This window comes from Homo sapiens, chromosome 1 (assembly GCF_000001405.40).
Source record: "Homo sapiens chromosome 1, GRCh38.p14 Primary Assembly".
NCBI classification, from domain to species: domain Eukaryota; kingdom Metazoa; phylum Chordata; class Mammalia; order Primates; family Hominidae; genus Homo; species Homo sapiens.
In genome coordinates, this window is record NC_000001.11 from 182,589,903 (window position 1) to 182,606,797 (window position 16,895).

The following is a 16,895-nucleotide window of genomic DNA, read 5'->3' on the forward strand; positions in this document are numbered from 1 at the left end:
AGCAATGAGCTGTGTACTGTGTACTTAGTGCTGTAGTGGAAAGTATTTCCATCCCCAAAGAATACCCAGTCTTGCTGGGGAGACAAAGCCCTGGGACTTGTGAACAACAAGTAGTGCATGGTCACTTGACGACCACCTGTGTCACACCATCCAGACCCGGGGCCTCTACCACCCCTTATACACCAGGGATTCCCAGGCCTCGCTCTCTAACCCCAGCCTCTCTGCTGAGCTTTAGACCTACAAATCTTGAATATGTGTCAAATGGAAATACTCATCTTTTCCTAAATCTGCCCCTCCTCCCACTTATTCCATCTCCACAGATGGCACCATCACCCGGAGGCCACCCCTCATCCTCATCCCAACACCAAGTCTCTTGCTTTCATCTACAAAGGGATGACCATTCGAGTCCTTGTCATCATTTATAGCAAGAAATTGATGACTTGCTTCCTAGCCCTTCATCCATTGTTCCACCCTGCATCATTGACCCACCATCATTTTCAGGACAAAGTTCAAAAATCCTTAACCCATTATTCATTTAATTAATACTTGTTGGACAGGCGTGGTGGCTCACACCTGTAATCCCAGCACTTTGGGAGGCCAAGGCAGGCAGATCACCTGAGTTCAGGAGTTCAAGACCAGCCTGGCCAACATGGTGAAACCGCGTCTCTACTAAAAATACAAAAAGTAGCCAGGTGTGGTGTTGTGCACCTGTAATCCCAGCTACTCGGGAGGCTGAGGCAGGAGAATTGCTCGAACCCGGGAGGTGGAGGTTGAAGTGAGCCAACATAGTACCACTACACTCCAGCCTGGATGACAGAGCAAGACTCCGTCTCAAAAAAAAAAAAAAAACTTATTGAGCACTGACTATGTTACCAGTGACTATTCTGCATATCTGGCATAGAATGATTTACCACACCAGTTCCTCACAGAGTTCTTCTAGGAGCTTGCATCTTAATAGGCAGAAATAGATCATAAACAGTTGAAAAACCCAACATATCATGATTTCAGGTTATAATACAGTCCCTGCCTGTCCCTACTCCTCATGGGCATCATCAGTGCTAGCCTCCAGTTCCTTGTCACATTATGTCATATGCTTCTACCTCTATATCTTGACCTATGCTGCCTTGCTACCAGAACTAATGATATTAGTAAGAGTGATGAAAATGTGGATGATTCTGTTAATAATGACAAACATTTACATAGCTCTTTAATATGGTCCAGGAACTGTTCTGAACACTTTATATATGTATTAAATTATTTAATCTTATCCTTATGATGTATATACTATTTTTGTCTCCGTTTTGCAGATAAGAAAACTGAAGCATAAAGTGGTTAAGTAACTTGCTCTAAGGATTTGATCTATATCACTGAACATCACAGAGAAACAGCTTGTCCCCATTCTTTTCTTTTTTTTTTTCTTTTCAAGACGGAGTCTCACTCTGTCACCCAGGCTGGAGTGCAGTGGCGCGATCTTGGCTCACTGAAACCTCTGTCTCCTGGGTTCAAGCGATTCTCTTGCCTTAGCCTCCTGAGGAGCTGGGATTACAGGCACACACCACCACATCCAGCTAATTTTTGTATTTTTAGTAGAGATGGGGTTTCACCACGTTGGTCAGGCTGGTCTCAAACTCCCGACCTCATTATCCATCCACCTCAGCCTCCCAAAGTGCTGGGATTACAGGTGTGAGTTTTTTGAGATGGAGTCTTGCTCTGTCACCCAGGCTGGAGTGCAGTGGTGTGATCTCGGCTCACCACAACCTCCACCTCCCAGGTTCAAGTGATTCTCGTGCCCCAGCCTCCCAAGTAGCTGGAATTACAAGCATGAGCCACCATGCCTGGCTAATTTTTGTATTTTTAGTAGAAACAGGGTTTCACCATGTTGGCCAGGCTGGTCTCGAACTCCTGACCTCGAGTTATCCACCCACCTCGGCCTCCCAAAGTTCTGGGATTACAGGTGTGACCCACCATGCCCAGCCCCTGCCCCCATTCTTACTGAAGCAAGATAATGAACAAAATAAGTAAATCATGTAGTGTATTGTAGGCAACAAATCTACAGAAAATATTAAGATAGAATAAGGAGGGTTAAAAGTGCCAGGATGGGGATGGGGATATTAAACAAAGTAGTCGGGAAGGGTCTTGTTCAGAAGGTGACGTTTGAGCAAAGACTTGCGGAAGATGCAGCAACAGGCTATGCAGATGTCTGCACCAAGAACACAGCAGACAGAGGAAACAGCAAGCACACAGGTCCTGAGGTGGGAGCATGCCTGGTGGGAACAAGCAGCAGCAAGGAGGCCAGTGAGGCTGGAGCAGAGTGAGGGAGGGGAGTTGATAAGCAGAGGTTCAGGTCAGGCGCGACCTTAGGGCCCGTTGTAAGGCTTTTGGCTTCCACACTAAACAACATGGTAGCCATTGGAGTATTGGAGCAGAGGAGTAACATGATCTCCATGGCTTTTTTTTTAGAGGATCTTAATCAGTCCTGTGCTGAGAAGAATCTGGGGATTGAAAGCAAAGGGAGAAGTTGGAAAATCCGTTAGAAGGCTATTGCAATAATCCAGCTGAGAGTCAACGGTGGCCCAGACCAGGGTGGTAGCATAGTGGTAACAGTGGATGTTAGTTTGTCCTGAACAGATGATTTGGTAAAAACTCTTGGAGAATGCTGACCTTTCTGGTCATAATGACATATGTTAAAGTCTAGTGAGCAGAATCATACCTACAGTGAAACCAAGGCAAGTGTATTACCAACTACAGCGAGGGAGGACTCATCCCAGGAACTGCAGAGTATTTTTTTTTTTTTTTTTGAGATGGAGTCTTGGACTGTCACCTGGGCTGGAGTGCAGTGGTGTGATCTCGGTTCACTGCAACTGCTGCCTCCTGGGTTCAAGCGATTCTCCTGCCTCAGCCTCCCGAATAGCTAGGATTACAGGTGCCTGCCACCACGCCCAGCTAATTTTTCTGTATTTTTAGTACAGACAGGGTTTCATCATGTTGGCCAGGCTGGTCTCGAACTCCTGACCTTGTGATTCGCCCACCTCAGCCTCCCAAAGTGCTGGGATTATGGGCATGAGCCACTGCGCCCTGCTTTTTTTTTTTTTTTTTAAGAGACATGATCTTGCTGTGCCACCCAGGCTGGAGTGCAGTGGCACAATCATATAGATCATATAGCTCATTGCAACCTCAACTTCCTGGGCTCAAGTGAACCTCCTGCCTCAGCCTCCCAAATAACTAGGACCCATTGTGAGGCATGCACCACCATGCCCGGCTAATTTTTAAAATTTTTTGTAGAGATGGGTTCTCACTGTGTTGCCCAGGCTGATTTTGAACTCCTGGCTTCAAGCAATCCTCCAGCTTTGTGCTCCCAAAGCACTGAGATTATAGATGTGAGCCATTCCACCCAGCCCCAGGATATCTTCTAAAAGGGAATCAGGATACTTATTTTAGGGTTTGAGCTTTTTGTCAGGTGATTTGGGGAAGGGTTTAAGGAAATAGAGGTTTGTTCTCAATTGGGTGGTGTCAGGAAGCAGAAGCACTTTGGTGCCTTCATTATGATCATCTAGGAATCAGGAGGAACAAAGTGTAGCTAGCACTGTCACTGCTCAAGGAACAGGTGGCTCATGTTACCCAGGAGAGGGGGTGTTGGTTACTTTTATGGTGGTATGGCATCTTTTCTTCACCTCGTGTTCAGTCCTCATTAAGAAGTGGCCTTATTTCTGTCTTGTTCCACTGTAGTCATAGGACAACATCATCAATTATTGTTGGCATTCTGCAGAATTGTTTTGTTCCATGGGAGCCAGGAGTATCAAGGAGGGGGGTGCCCCAAGAGACAGGTGGAGTCTGACAACAGTCCTGGCAGAAGGAGAGATCAGTCTGTCCACAAAGAGACCCCAGTCGCTGCTGGTTCAGAGGCCCAGACTCTGAAGACAGAATCACCAAGAGCAGAAGAGACCCCTCCCAGCAGTGGATGCGAATTCCAGGCTGGGAACATGGAGAGAGAAACCAAGGCCAAGGTGAAATGTAAGGATACCTTCCTCCTTCCCTCTGGCTCCCTCCTTCCCACACTCAAGATGTTAGAATTAAGCAATGTTCTTAACCTTTCCTTCCTTTGACAAGAAAGATCGCTGGGACTGCAGAGATTTTCTCTAAGCTTAGGAATAAATTGCATTTTACTTGCCAAAAGCCCTTCTTGGATCTTGGTGAGAAGACAATGGGGTCGAATTGATCACTGCACTCCAGCCTGGGTGACAGAATGAGACCCTGTCTCAAAAAGAAAAAGAAGAAAGAAAGAGAGAAAAGAAAAGAAAGAAAAGAAAAGAAGAAAGAAAGAAAGAAAGAAAAGAAAAGAAGAAAGAAAAAAAGAAAGAAAGAAGAAAGAAAGGAAGGAAGGAAGAAAGAAAGAAAGAAAGAACGAAAGAAAGAAAGAAAGAAAGAAAGAAAGAAAGAAAGAAAAAAGAAAGAAAGAAAGAAAGATTACACTGATGTGCTCACATCAGTAATATGAGAATGGTTTGGAATGGTTTGATGTTATGTAGCAATGGCTAACTGACATAGCTACTTGCTAGCTCTTTGAATTTGGGCAATTTACTTAAACTTTCTAGGCCTTGATTTCTGTGTCTATATAATGAGGATGATAATAATAGTAGCTAACTCATAGGAGTATCATGAGGATTACAGAAATTAACATACGCGAAGGACTTAGAACATTGCCTGCCACATACAAGCAGCTACCATTTTTGAACACTTACTTTTAAGTGCTATGATAAATATTTTTCCTAAATGTTCTCATTGTCATCACAAAAGTCCTATGAAGATAATATTATTGTTATTCACATTTTACAGGAAAAAGTGAGGCTCTGAGAAATTGAGTAATGTGCTGCAGTTTACTCAGCTGATAAATAGCAGATGTGGAACTTAATTCAGTTGCCTAACTTCCGAGCCTGCTGACTCCATGATTAGGTTATACCACGCTGCCTGTGAGGCTGCGCCTTGGAACTGTGAGATTAACTGAGCTAAGGCAATTCTCCTCCCCGGCACGGAACTGTCCCTTAAGTGGCATCCCATTACAATCATAAGATTAATCCACACATTGTTGCTTTTCTCAAAGATTAAATTAAATCATTCTCCAGGTTACAGATCAAAGCTTGAAAATCACCAACACTGTGAATCAAGAAACATCTTTTCTAAATGATGGGGACTCCAACTCCATTATCCAGCGCCTAACCGCCGTATATCTCTTACCCTCAGGAGCACACCTCAGTTATGTAAGTTTCAAGTCTTTCTTTTCTTCCTTAAAGCAATTTGAATAACTGGACCAATTTAAAAGATTCGTGACAGTAAATTACTTTGCAGTCAGCAAGGCAATAGGCCCTGACACTTTTTTTTTTAATTGGAAGTTTTGCTCTTGTTGCCCAAGCTGGAGTGCAATGGCGCGATCTCGGCTCACTGCAACCTCCGCCTCCTGGGTTCAAGCGATTCTCCTGCCTCAGCCTCCTGAGTAGCTGGGATTACAGGTGCGTGCCACCATGCCCGGCTAATTTTTTGTATTTTTAGTAGAAACGGGGTTTCACCATGTTAGCCAGGCTGGTCTTGAACTCCTGACCTCAGGTGATCTGCCCACCTCAGCATCCCAAAGTGCTGGGATTACAGGCCTGAGCCACCGCGCCCGGCCCCCTGACACCTTTTTTCTCTCTACCTTACAGCTTCCATTTTTAAAAGTAATTTCATCCCTATAAACTAAAGAATCTCGGTTTAACTCCTATACCTGCTGTGCTGTCTCAGTAGTGATATTAATAATTCTCATTTCTGTTAAAATTTCACATGTTTATTAAAATGCATTAATAAATAAAACTACAGTGAAACAAATGAAAGCCATTGGATGTATAATTCCAAAGGAAGAAGCCAAACTTTAAAAGCTTGCATTGCCTGGCATGGCCACAGTGAGGCAGTAGAGGGTGAGAGACAAGCAGCCTCGCACAGTCACAGGGCACATATTTGAAAACAGCGTTGGCTGACCTGGTTTCCAGGAATCCCATGGTCCCTCTAATACCCTGGCTTACTTAATGCCTCCAGCCTTCCATTTCTTTTTCTGAAATTCTGGAATGCTGTAAACATCAGACAAAATATGGTACTGAAGCAGCTAAAAAAAAAAGTAGATTTAGAATCCTGAGTTGAAATTCTGATCCTGCCATTTTATTCAAGAAGTCAAAAGACTTTTTGACTTGACTAATGCCTACTGTATACAAATCACTGTGCTAAGTACTGGGAATCAGATAATAATAATAGCCAATAGTCATGAGGCATTAACATTGTGCCGCACACTTTTATTTCATTCAGTGTTCCCTGTGACGCTTACTCTTATTATCCTCATTTTACAGCTGAGGCTTAAGCAACTTTCCAAGGTGAATGGCCAGGATTCCAACCCAACATTCCGGCTCCACAGCTGGGACTGGAGAACTGCTTTGCTGTAGTCTGTTCTGCCCCATCTCACCAAGGTGAATAATATGACCCTGACTTTGAAGAGCTCAGTTTAATAGGAGAGCAAAAGCCATGAAGAAAGAAGTTATGGAGGAATACCATATGTGCTACAATCAAAGTAAGAACACTGTGTCTTAGAATCATGCAAGTTGGGAGCAATTAACTCTGTACAGGGACATCTGGGAAGGCTTCACTGAGGAGGTGATGTTTTTGCTGGATTTTGAAAGTTGGCATTCTCCTCCTCGCACCTCAACCCCCAATTTTTTCTAAAAAAGAGGAGAAAGAGGTGTTCTAGGCAGAGAGAACAGCATGTGTAGCCACAAAAAAAAAAAAAGAGAGAGAGAGAGAAGGGAAAAGTCTGAGAATGAAGGCTGTCCAGGCAGGAGATACGTCTGGAGAGGGACTTGGGTCAGGTCAGAGACCCCCTTGTGTGTCAGGATTAAAGCTGGACTTTATTTTAGAGTCAAAAGTGAACCGCTGAGGGGTTCTAACGTAGCCACAAAGTGCTCAGATCTGTGCTTTAGAGCTGAAGACTGGCACAGTGTGGAAAATGAACCAGCACAGGGAGAGGCTGGGGTAGGGAGACCCGCCGGGAAATTGTGGTATCTGATTGGAGAGGATGAGAGAGTCCTCTAAGGAAGCCTTGGTGAGCCTGTGCAGAAGCTGGACCCAACGCATTTGGGTCTGAGGGATTTCGATGCACTCAATACATGCATGTTAAAGGCATAAAGATGGAAGGAGAGCAGTAGGAAAGGGCGAGTGTTAGTACCTCCCTGTCTTTCTGGGTCCTCCGCTCTTCCTTCCCTTATCAGTCACATTCCTCCACCCATCTTTCACAGACTGGACTCCCCATGGCATAACTGAGTTCAGATCCCCATTCTGCCACTCACTGGCTGGCTGCCCCAAGCATGTCCCTCCCTCTCAGAGCTTGTTTCCTTCTCTGGATGATAAAGTGTTCAGACCCACTCCACAGAGCTGTTGTAAGGACTAACAGAGCTCAGGGCCTGCCACAGTGTTGGTCCCTGTCTTCCTTCCCAGGCCCTTAATTTCAGGATCCTCCCTGGTGTCACCCACAGAATCCCTCCTTAGATCTGTGCTTAAGATGTGATTCTATGGGGATTTCTACCCCATGTTCCTGAAGTCTGATCACTTTACTCAGACTATCAATAGGGAAGAAATAAAGGTTCATTTAAGGTCCAGATCTGTGTATAAACAGATCATTCAACAGAGAAGAAAACATTTTTTTAAGTAGTCGTAATCAGAAAAAAATGAGAGGGATTCAGTAGGATGAAAAAGGAGAACAAGCAGGCAATTAGCAGAGGAAGAACAGATTTTGATCCTTGCAAACCTACCCCCAGGGTCTCACTGTGTCCCCCAGGCTGGAGTGCGGTAGAGTGATCTCAGCTCATGGCAGCCTTGACCTCCCCAGCATAAGCCATCCTCCCACCTCAGTCTCCCAAGTAGCTGGGACTACAGGCATGTGCCACCACACTCTGCTAATGTTTGACTTTTTGTAGAAACTGGGTTTTGCCATGTTGCCCAGCCTGGTCTTGAGCTCCTGGGCTTAAGTGATCCACCCTCCTCAGCCTCCCTCCCTCAGTGCTCACAGGCATGAGCCACCGCGCCTGTCTCCGTACCCCCAAATTCTTTCAAGCACAGTTCAACCCTTATTCCCTTGGCCCATGGAATGGAGCAGCCTCATGTACAGAGTGGCTTCATATACCTCATCTCAGATACTTCTATGAAATTATAAAAAGAATAATAATTTCTTGAATATAAATTACAAAAGATTTGTAATTGAATTTAATTACAAATTACTTTTAAAAGTAAAAATCCTACAAAAGTCACCACCTAACTGATGATGTCTTGCTACTTGACCAAGGGGTACTGACCCCTGCACTGTTACAGGCAGAATTGGAAATGGCTCATGCCGAGTCCCAGCCAGGTGGGCAAAAGATACGGGCTCTGAAATGACAGTGGGCTGAGCCCAGTCCAATCCACACAACAGCCCAACACAAGTGGGGCTGTCACGAGCTTAAAAAGTCACTGATCATAGCAGCCTCGTTAGAACCTATCCCTTCTCTTGACTCTGGCAGGTACCAGGTGAATATCAAGCTCTCCCTGTACTTCTGCCTGTGCCATGGAAGCTTACTCGCCTGTCCTGTGGAATTCCCAAAAGCCAGCTCCTCCCCAGAGCTCTCCACAACACTTCCCCTTTTCCCCTGACCCACACAGCACTTGAAGACAGGATGTCATATTTGACTTTTGCTTTTATTTTATAAGAATATAACATGCTGAAACAGGAAAATGGGGATTGCAAACATCATTCATATCTAGGAAACCAGCTCCATTTGTCACAATAAATAAATATTTAAACAGTGAGGAGTTCCTGACAGGCTCCAAGAGGTTCCCAGCACATTCAGAGGTAGAGTCTGGTAGAGAAAGGGAGACAGTCAGGCTGAAACCCCTGCTGAGATTCTCCAGTAGAGGCAAACTGAAATTACAATAATAAATAACAACAGCACCAACAATAACAAAAACAATGTTATGACAATCACAGAAAACCAATGATACAATACACTTAAATAATCTCCTGGAGGAGCTCATGGTACAGAGAGAACAGTGTTGATTATCCTGGGCCACAAAGGGGCTGCCCTGGGTAGTTCACTTCCCCAGCCTGGGCTCTGCCGCAGGAGTTGCCATCAGGAAATGTTTGTTCAGTGATGCCCTGAGGTGACAGGCAGGTTCTGATTATCCCCAGTCCTGCCCTTCGAAGCAGCCTCTCCCCCCAGCTTCTGCACTCTAAGGGTGCCATGGTCCTGGGCCACCTCTGCCCACTCCAGTGTTCATCTCACGTCTGCAGGAAAGAAACACAAGGCTCCCCTTCTATCTCGGGGCATCTCTTTTTGCCTGTTCTCATACCACAAAAAACACTGGCTGGATTTCAGCAGGACTCTCAGGGACCGCCAAGAGACTTATTTCCTAGGATCCTTTTCTGCCTTGTTCCACACTGCGGGGCATGAGAGCTGGAAAAGCCACTCCCCGAGGCCTCCACACTTTGTTCTCCTGGGCCCTGCCTCCAAGAGACAGCACAGAACTCAGAGAGGGCACATCCAGGAAGAGGCCCCAGGGCGGGCCTGCTCACAGGTGGACCCTGCTGCAACGCAGGGTCAGGGGCCACCTGCAGGGGGCCACCCAGAGCACTGAGCTGGATTCAAGTGAGCCTCCTTTCAGGGCTCTCCACTGACTTGGAAAGGGCTCACAGGCCAGTGTTTGAGGTATAAATATCTCGCATGGGGCAAGAGTCACATCAGCTTGCTGGCCTTGACATGACTGCAAGGCTGGACAGACACACAGGAGTGTTACGAGGTACAAGCTAAGGGACTCTGGGCTAGCCCAGAGGCCAGTGAGGAGGGCCAAAGGGGAAGACTCCACATCCAGGGTCCCTTCCGTGCCCAGAACAGTCTGGGAATTAGGAAAACAGGATGCAATCAGAGTCAACTGAGCAACAGGCAAAACAGCTGATCTGGATGTCTTTCCTCCTCTCATTTTCATGGTTCCCTTTATCCACATGTTTCCTAAACCACACTAGAACACTTCCTTCTCCGGTGAGAACGAGAGCCAGTGCTAACCCCCATACCACCTTTTTGCCCCACAGAGAGCCCCACCAACCCTCATCATTAGCCCTTATTCACAGGTCCTGGAAGTGGGCGGCTCCTCTCCAGCATGAGTCCCACAGTATCTGAAGGAGAGACTGCTGCTTCCCAAACAGGCTGCTGGAGCGCATTTTTTTTTTTTTTTTTTTTTTTTTTGTCCTCTTGCACTTGCTTTGCAGAACCTGCCTCCCACACAGGGGCAGCCACCTCGGGGATGGGTGACTCAACCTCTCTTCCCGGCTGGCTTCCTCACTGCCGTGGAGACTCAGGTGTGTGAGGGCTCGTCCAGGCTGCAGCTGGACAGAGTGGCAGAGGCGGCTGAGGCTTGGGCAGCCAGGTCCCGGTAAGCAGGCGACTTCAGGAAGCGTGGGTAGGAGTCCTTCTCCATCAGGGTACGTGTCTTCCCCTGAGCCGCATCAAAGCATGTGGCTGTGGCAGTCTGCAGGTTCATCCTCGTCAGCTCGTGGGTCTCATGGTCAATGTTGACCTGCGGGAAGGAGGACACACACAGGGTGAGTTGGGGAAGAGGGTGGGCATGGCTGAGGGAGGGCCAACGGCAGGCTGGGCATTGGAAAGAGCATCGGATGCTGCATCAGGAAGTGGGGGCTCCTGAGTTGATCACTAGCTTTTCAGCTCTGGGCTTGTACCCACATCTGATCCAGTGTCTGTCCTCCAATCTCTCAGAATTAACATGAGGATCTATCAAGAATGTATACAAACGCAATCCCCTTTCACCCTTTCTTCTACAGCAACCCTGCTTCAAGTCACTATCAGCTCTCCTGGGATTTGCACCAAGGCCTCCTACCTGGTCTCTCTGCTACCTTACCCCCCACCCCTGTGGTTTGTTCTCTACCCAGTCGCTACAGTGAGCCTTTAAAAACCCAACTCAGTTTGGTAGCTCCTCTGTTGTCTCCTCATGTCTTTCAGAAGAAGAGCCAAAGGGCTTGCTGGGCCCACGAGGCTCCCCAAGCCCACACCTGGCCATCCTCCTCATGCCTGACCTCATCTCCTGCTCTTGCCCTGCTCTACACAGGTCCATTTGCTCATCCGTGACTGTGACAGGCAGGCTCTGGCCATTGCATTTGCTGCTTCCTGTGTTGGAATGTTCTTCCCTCCCTGAATTCTTTCTTATCTCTGTTCATATGTCCTCACTTCCCTTTACAGAATGGAAAACCTTACGTCTTCCCAGGCCCTACCTCTGGTACTCCCTGTCTCTCATTTCCTGCTGTATTTTTATGAGTGCATAGCTCATCACCTGGCATATATTTGTCTAGTTGGTTATTGGCATCTTCCCCCATTCAAATTATAAGTTTCATTAGGTAAGGGACTTTGTGTGGCTCACTGTGACATACACAGTGACTGTAACAGTGTCTTGAATATAATTGGGGCTCAATACACCTTTACAGAATTATGTGGAATCAATCAGCGGTCAGAAAACAAAAATAAGGTACAAAAGTAAGGCATTACTCTTATCTTTCCACCAGGTGGCGCTGTGTTCTTTAGCAAATGCAGCTGCCATGCGTTTAGCGGCCAGGAGAGAAGGTAGACAAAAAAATCACAGACCACAGACCAGCAGGCCTCAGGCAGGTCAGCCTGGGGACTGAGCCAGGTTACATAAGGTCCCTGTGCTGACCTTGTCTCCCCAGTTGCTAAGTGTTTTGAGCCTCTAAAAACGGATGGGTTTATAAAGGTGGGTATGGACAGAAGCCGAAAAACCTGCCAACACATCCTGCCCCATCATGAGTCTTAGGGTTAAGCACCCAGGAGTGGCACTGGGCCTGGCTTTCCTAGTCTCTGGTCACAGAAGCCCAGTCACCCCTGTGCCAAGTAAGGCCCTTCTACCTCTACACCTAGCCCTTCCTCCCCTCTAGCCCTGATTCTCAGAGGGGAAGGAGCAGGCAGGGTCGTGAGGATTCACTGGGCATATGGGGGCTCTAACCTCTTTAGGGGCCTCACTGCAAATGAACTCCTCAAAGATCTGGTGTGCCCTGGAGGCCAGCTTGGTAGCTGATCGGATCTTCTTGAACTCCTCACAGGCCAGCCAGAACTCCAGGTTCTCCTCACTGAACTCTGTCTTCAGGAAAGCGTGGAAGGCAGCCACTCCATCTGGGGTTGCGGGAAAGAAGAGGAAATAGGTCAGCTGGAGGGACAGCAGGGAATACAAGAAGAAAGGAAAGCAATTGCAATTAATGGCTCTATTTTTAGAACATAATTTTCTTGAACAATGACCTGCCTTTATATGTTGAATAGAGGCTGGCACACTAGGGGATCATTATTATTATTATTACTACTACTATTATTCTGCCCAGGCTCTCAGCAGTCCTGGGGCTGGCTCCAAAGCACATGAGTACACATGTGCCACCCAGAGACAGACACAAAAGGCTCCTACTCACTTTTACTGCTCAGCAGCAGGTCGAACGACTCTCTCCACCCCAGCACATCTTCTGAGAAGTTTCTACTAAAAGACAAAAAGAAAAAAAAAGAGTAAGAAAAAAAATCAACAAACCAAAGCATAGTACAAATTCTAGCCAGAACTCTGATGGAAAACTGCATAAAATTCACAGAAAGGCTTGCTTGGTGATTGCTGAAGCTGACACCTCAAACTCTTAGTTGGACTTAGGGTAAGCAGTAGTGCTTTCTAGAGCACAATTCAGCAACCAGAAATCAAAGCCAGGGACTCTTTAGTCCTCAGTCAATATCTCTAAGCCTGTCTCGTCTCTGTCCAAAAATTATTTCAATTCCCCTGACTCTCAAAGATTTGTTTTGTACACCTTCCCAAGGAAATAAGGTCCTCATAAATAGAGATTACATCTACACATAACTCCAGAGTTTGGTACAGTTGATAGCCAATATGAAAGAGTTTCTAGGCAAGGTGCATACTAGAAAACTTCAAGTGGTCTTGGATTCTGTCCTAGCCCTGGATGCACGTGCAATGAATCCCGAGGTGGGAGAGTCTGGGAACTAGGCATTCATGCCCTGTGTGCCCTCATCCGTGGATGGACTTGGAGCCCTGGAGCCACCTACCCACTCACCCATGAGCCAAGTAGTCATAACAGACCAGCAACAAGTCCCACTAAAATCTCTAGGGAGGTGTTGCCAAGGTCCACTTAGCGTGTCCTGGCTTCTCCCTGTATTTCCCTCCTCATGACTCCCTTCCCACTCCCTTCCCTCTCGGAGCCCTGAGCTGGTCAGCAACACTTACTTCTCTTTGCTGTGTTTACTGCCCCACTCGAACTTGCCAGTACTCCCAGTATCGCAGCCCAGCTCTGATTTGTGAAGAAAGATCCCCAGACGTGTCTTGAACTCTTTGGCTCTGAAAAACAAATCAGGAACATGAAAGCATTCTCTCATTTGCTCAGCCAGTGTGGAGAGGTTTATGGGTCCCAGAAGAGCTCTGGGTGGTGCCACCCAAACTTTAGCCTCAAGAGTTCCTGGAAACTCTTGGCTGTCCCCAGGCCAAGAGTGCTTCTCTTATCAGCATCATCAACCCCAAAGCAACAAAAGCAATGTTTGAGCTATGCTGTGGTAGGTCTTACACTTTCTGGGTAATACACACGCTGCATATATGGGCTTTTCCCTAAAGTCACACTGATCTCTCTTCGTGCCTGTTGATTCAGAAAAGAACTCAGCATTCTTTTCAGAAGTATTTCTGAACTGTGTGGGAAACTGATTCCTGCCTTCATCTTTACTTTTTCCTTCCCAGCCAGTAAGGATTGGAAGCTGTTGAGTAGCTCTCTGGAATATGGACACACCCTCAACAGTGGGAGCCCCCACCCCCACACACCCCACCAAAAAAAAAAAAATCTCCCTGTCTTCCAGGGGCAGAGGAGGCAATGCCCCTAGCTCTGGTCTGAGGAATGAAAAACAAATGCTTAAGAAATGGGCAGGCTCAGTGCTGCCTGGAAATGTCAACGTGGCCTTCCCGCAGCCGGGTCTTCAGCAGGTCACCTGAGCACGACTGCAGTTTGTCAGAGGATGGGGATGGCAGCAAGCCGCGGGCCCTTGCTTCCCTTCCCCTTGCTTTCTCCCTGCTCCTGGAATCTGAGCACGTGGCATCAAGTGCGCTTCTACCTCTCTACTCAAGCCTCTAGCGCCCCATCCCCGCGCCCACCCAGGTCCCCAGGCCTGCCGCTCCACTCCCTAAGAGTTGGTGGGACTTCCCCCAAGCAGTTGGACAACCTCCCCTTACCTCTCCAGGCAGGTGGTGGGGAAGGCGGCCAGGGTGCGGCACATGGCTGCGGGCGCAGGGCAGCACGTAGTAGGCAGGATGGTGGCAGGCTCCAGGAGGCTCCGCGTGCGCCAGGAAGCAAAGGCGCGGTAGCAGGTGCTAGTCAACTGCGGTTGGGTTTAGCAGCCTGCAAGCGCCCAGACTGAGCGGCCGCTGCTTTAAATCCCCTCGGAGGAGCGGGGCGGGGCTGGGCACTGCTGACCAATCGGAGGGTGGGGCTGGGCGCTGAGAAGGCGGAGGCGGGGCCCGCAGCCAGACTGGGCCGGGTGCAACTTTCGCGGCAGCTGGAGCACGCGGAGCTGCACCCTCCGCCCAGAGGACGCCGCGTGTGGAAGGAAAAGCGGCAAGAGAATTGGCACGGGGATGAGACGTGCACACCCAGTTTCCTAGGGAAAAGTACCTGCCGACCTCTAGTAACAGCAGGAAAGTCACGCAGCGGTGTCGTGTTGAGAGAGTTTGCACGGGGGTGGTGGGTCTGGGAGGCACACAGGGCTTTCTTTGATCGCAGGCAAGTCTGAGCCTGCTGGGTCCTGAGGACAGGCGCACAGGGTGCAAACCTGGGCAAAACAGCATCTGATTATACTGATAAGTACCCTTTACGAGGCTCTTACCATGATGGACACGGGGCTAAGTAAGCTCTTCATCATCATCTCCATTTTATAGATGAAGAAATCGAGAATCAGAAAGCTAAATAAACTTGTCCAAGATCACAGTTGGAGATGACAGAAAAGTGGAATAGGGATGAGTAGTTTATTGAACACCTACTATGTGCTAGGCACATAAGTAAGACTTGCTCAAAGTCTTAGTTATTAAATAACTTGCTCAAAGATGTGCAGCTAGTAAGTGTTGGCTCCAAAATTCAAATGTGAATTTGCCATTCTTTTTCCATTGCACACACACACACACACACACACACACACACCACACACACACACAAAGGTTAGTACCCGGTCACGGCTATACCTGTGGACGATCCTGGGTTTAAGCAGTTAATACCTTATTGTCTCCATCTCTGACATAAAGGTAATAAATGCCCTTCCTCTCACCTCATCTTCCCATAAAGGCATTGGGATTGCTATTAAGAGGCTGTATGTGAGGTTAAAAGTACAGGGTCTAGAGTTAGATTTTCAGGTTTCAAGTCATGGCTCTGCCAGGTGACCTGCTGAAGACCCAGCTGCAGGAAGGCCACGTTCACTGTTAACTGGCTACTGATGGGAGACGAGGCAAACTGCTTAACCTTTCTATGCCTCCATTTCCTTGTCTCTACGAAGAGAACAACTTATTTCATAAGGTGGTTGTGAGAACTAAATAAATTAATTCTTAGTTTGAGTTCCTAGGAACTAGACTCGGGTAGACACTTGCATGCAGGAGGTTTACTGGGGAGAGTTATCAGAATTAAGAGGGAGTAAAGAAAGCAGGTCTGGGCAGAGGGAGGAGTTGAAGGCCATGCCATTTCAACAGAGACCCCAGCTGGTTCCAAGGAATGCCCGGAAGCTCAGCTGGCCCTTTGGAACTGTCCACTGAAGCAAGAGGACAAGGCCCTGGTAACCCCATAAAGACCATTCATTGCATACAGCTGCCCAAGAAGACAGCCTAATCTTAAGGCAGTGCCCTTTGTCAAGAGCAATTCCTGGAGAGAGACTAACACCCTGGGAAATGATGATCACAGTCCCCAAGACGGGATCTGGGTGGCACCGCACAGCATCCGTGACAACATATAAGGTGCTTATATGACAGTGCTCAACATGTAGTCAGCAGTCAATAAATGTTATAATAGCTTTCAGTTTTACTTAATAGGGATACTGGGATTGCTAGCAATAAGGAAAATTAGTGAGTCTTTTGTGCCTCTTGGAATACAGTATAGGCAGTGTATACTGAGGCACTCTTAGTTAAGTACACCTGAGGCACTCTTAGTTAAGTGTACTGGAACAGGAAATAGCTGGAAATTGGATCCTATCTCCCAATTCCTGAGCTAGTACTTTCTCCTGCTCTGATAAAGAAAGCAAAATAAACGGTGCCAGGAGCAGTGGCTCACGCCTGTAATCCCAGAACTTTGGGAGGCTGAGGCGGGCAGATCACCTGAGGTCAGGAGTTCGAGACCAGCCTGGCCAACATGGCGAAACCCAGTCGCTACTAAAAATACAAAAACATACCCAGGCATGGTGGTGGGTGCCTGTAATCCCAGCTACTTGGGAGGCTGAGGCAGGAGAATCTCTTGAACCCAGGAGGTAGAGGTTGCAGTAAGCCGAGATCGCGCCATTGCAAAAAAAACAAAGGCATTGATGCACAGTGCACAGACCAGCAAATCTGAGAGCACAAAGCTCCCTACTCTAGATGAACGGCCCTCTCCAAGTTCAACCTGCCTCTTTGTTGCCATGGTTACCTCTTCAGTTTCCAGGCAGAAACTTTTTGAAGTTCACAATTTATCCCAAATTATCTTCCCAGCAGGTCGGTTCATATCTGCAGTTTCGGTAATGCAGGATGACTCGACAGTTGCTGTAAATCCAGCAAGTTGAGCTCACTTATGAATTGCACTGGCTTGG

The 16,895-nt window shown here is 47.5% G+C and overlaps 1 protein-coding gene across 2 annotated transcripts, besides 5 other annotated features; it reads right to left on the bottom strand.

Annotated features, from left to right (window-relative positions):
* On the bottom strand, positions 8,721-14,487 carry RGS16 (regulator of G protein signaling 16). 2 transcript variants are annotated; one of them, XM_024448796.1, is made up of 5 exons: positions 14,314-14,487; positions 13,327-13,437; positions 12,518-12,579; positions 12,064-12,230; positions 8,721-10,611 (listed from the first exon to the last, which is right to left on the bottom strand). In XM_024448796.1, the coding sequence occupies exons 1-5, from the start codon at positions 14,355-14,357 to the stop codon at positions 10,390-10,392; spliced, it is 606 nt and encodes a 201-aa protein (XP_024304564.1). In that variant the 5' UTR covers positions 14,358-14,487; the 3' UTR covers positions 8,721-10,389. The 2 variants fall into 2 exon arrangements, with proteins under 2 accessions (XP_024304564.1, NP_002919.3); NM_002928.4 differs by having other exon boundaries at positions 12,518-12,582.
* Positions 11,582-11,631: an enhancer, noted in NCBI's record as "active region_2199". NCBI's record gives its function as "activates an Ori minimal core promoter by ATAC-STARR-seq in GM12878 lymphoblastoid cells {active_cell/tissue: GM12878}" and the evidence as "EXISTENCE:reporter gene assay evidence [ECO:0000049][PMID:35858748]".
* Positions 11,942-12,001: a silencer, noted in NCBI's record as "silent region_1620". NCBI's record gives its function as "represses an Ori minimal core promoter by ATAC-STARR-seq in GM12878 lymphoblastoid cells {active_cell/tissue: GM12878}" and the evidence as "EXISTENCE:reporter gene assay evidence [ECO:0000049][PMID:35858748]".
* Positions 14,052-14,111: an enhancer, noted in NCBI's record as "active region_2200". NCBI's record gives its function as "activates an Ori minimal core promoter by ATAC-STARR-seq in GM12878 lymphoblastoid cells {active_cell/tissue: GM12878}" and the evidence as "EXISTENCE:reporter gene assay evidence [ECO:0000049][PMID:35858748]".
* Positions 14,202-14,251: an enhancer, noted in NCBI's record as "active region_2201". NCBI's record gives its function as "activates an Ori minimal core promoter by ATAC-STARR-seq in GM12878 lymphoblastoid cells {active_cell/tissue: GM12878}" and the evidence as "EXISTENCE:reporter gene assay evidence [ECO:0000049][PMID:35858748]".
* Positions 14,722-14,801: an enhancer, noted in NCBI's record as "active region_2202". NCBI's record gives its function as "activates an Ori minimal core promoter by ATAC-STARR-seq in GM12878 lymphoblastoid cells {active_cell/tissue: GM12878}" and the evidence as "EXISTENCE:reporter gene assay evidence [ECO:0000049][PMID:35858748]".

Excerpts from the sequence above, each read along its gene's own strand:
- RGS16 (NM_002928.4), bottom strand. The coding sequence starts at position 14,357 with ATGTGCCGCACCCTGGCCGCCTTCCCCACCACCTGCCTGGAGAG. Across the intron at positions 13,438-14,313 it reads CCCACCACCTGCCTGGAGAG|AGCCAAAGAGTTCAAGACAC; the intron begins GTAAGGGGAGGT and ends TTTGTTTTTCAG. Across the intron at positions 12,231-12,517 it reads CCTGCTGCTGAGCAGTAAAA|ATGGAGTGGCTGCCTTCCAC; the intron begins GTGAGTAGGAGC and ends CCGCAACCCCAG.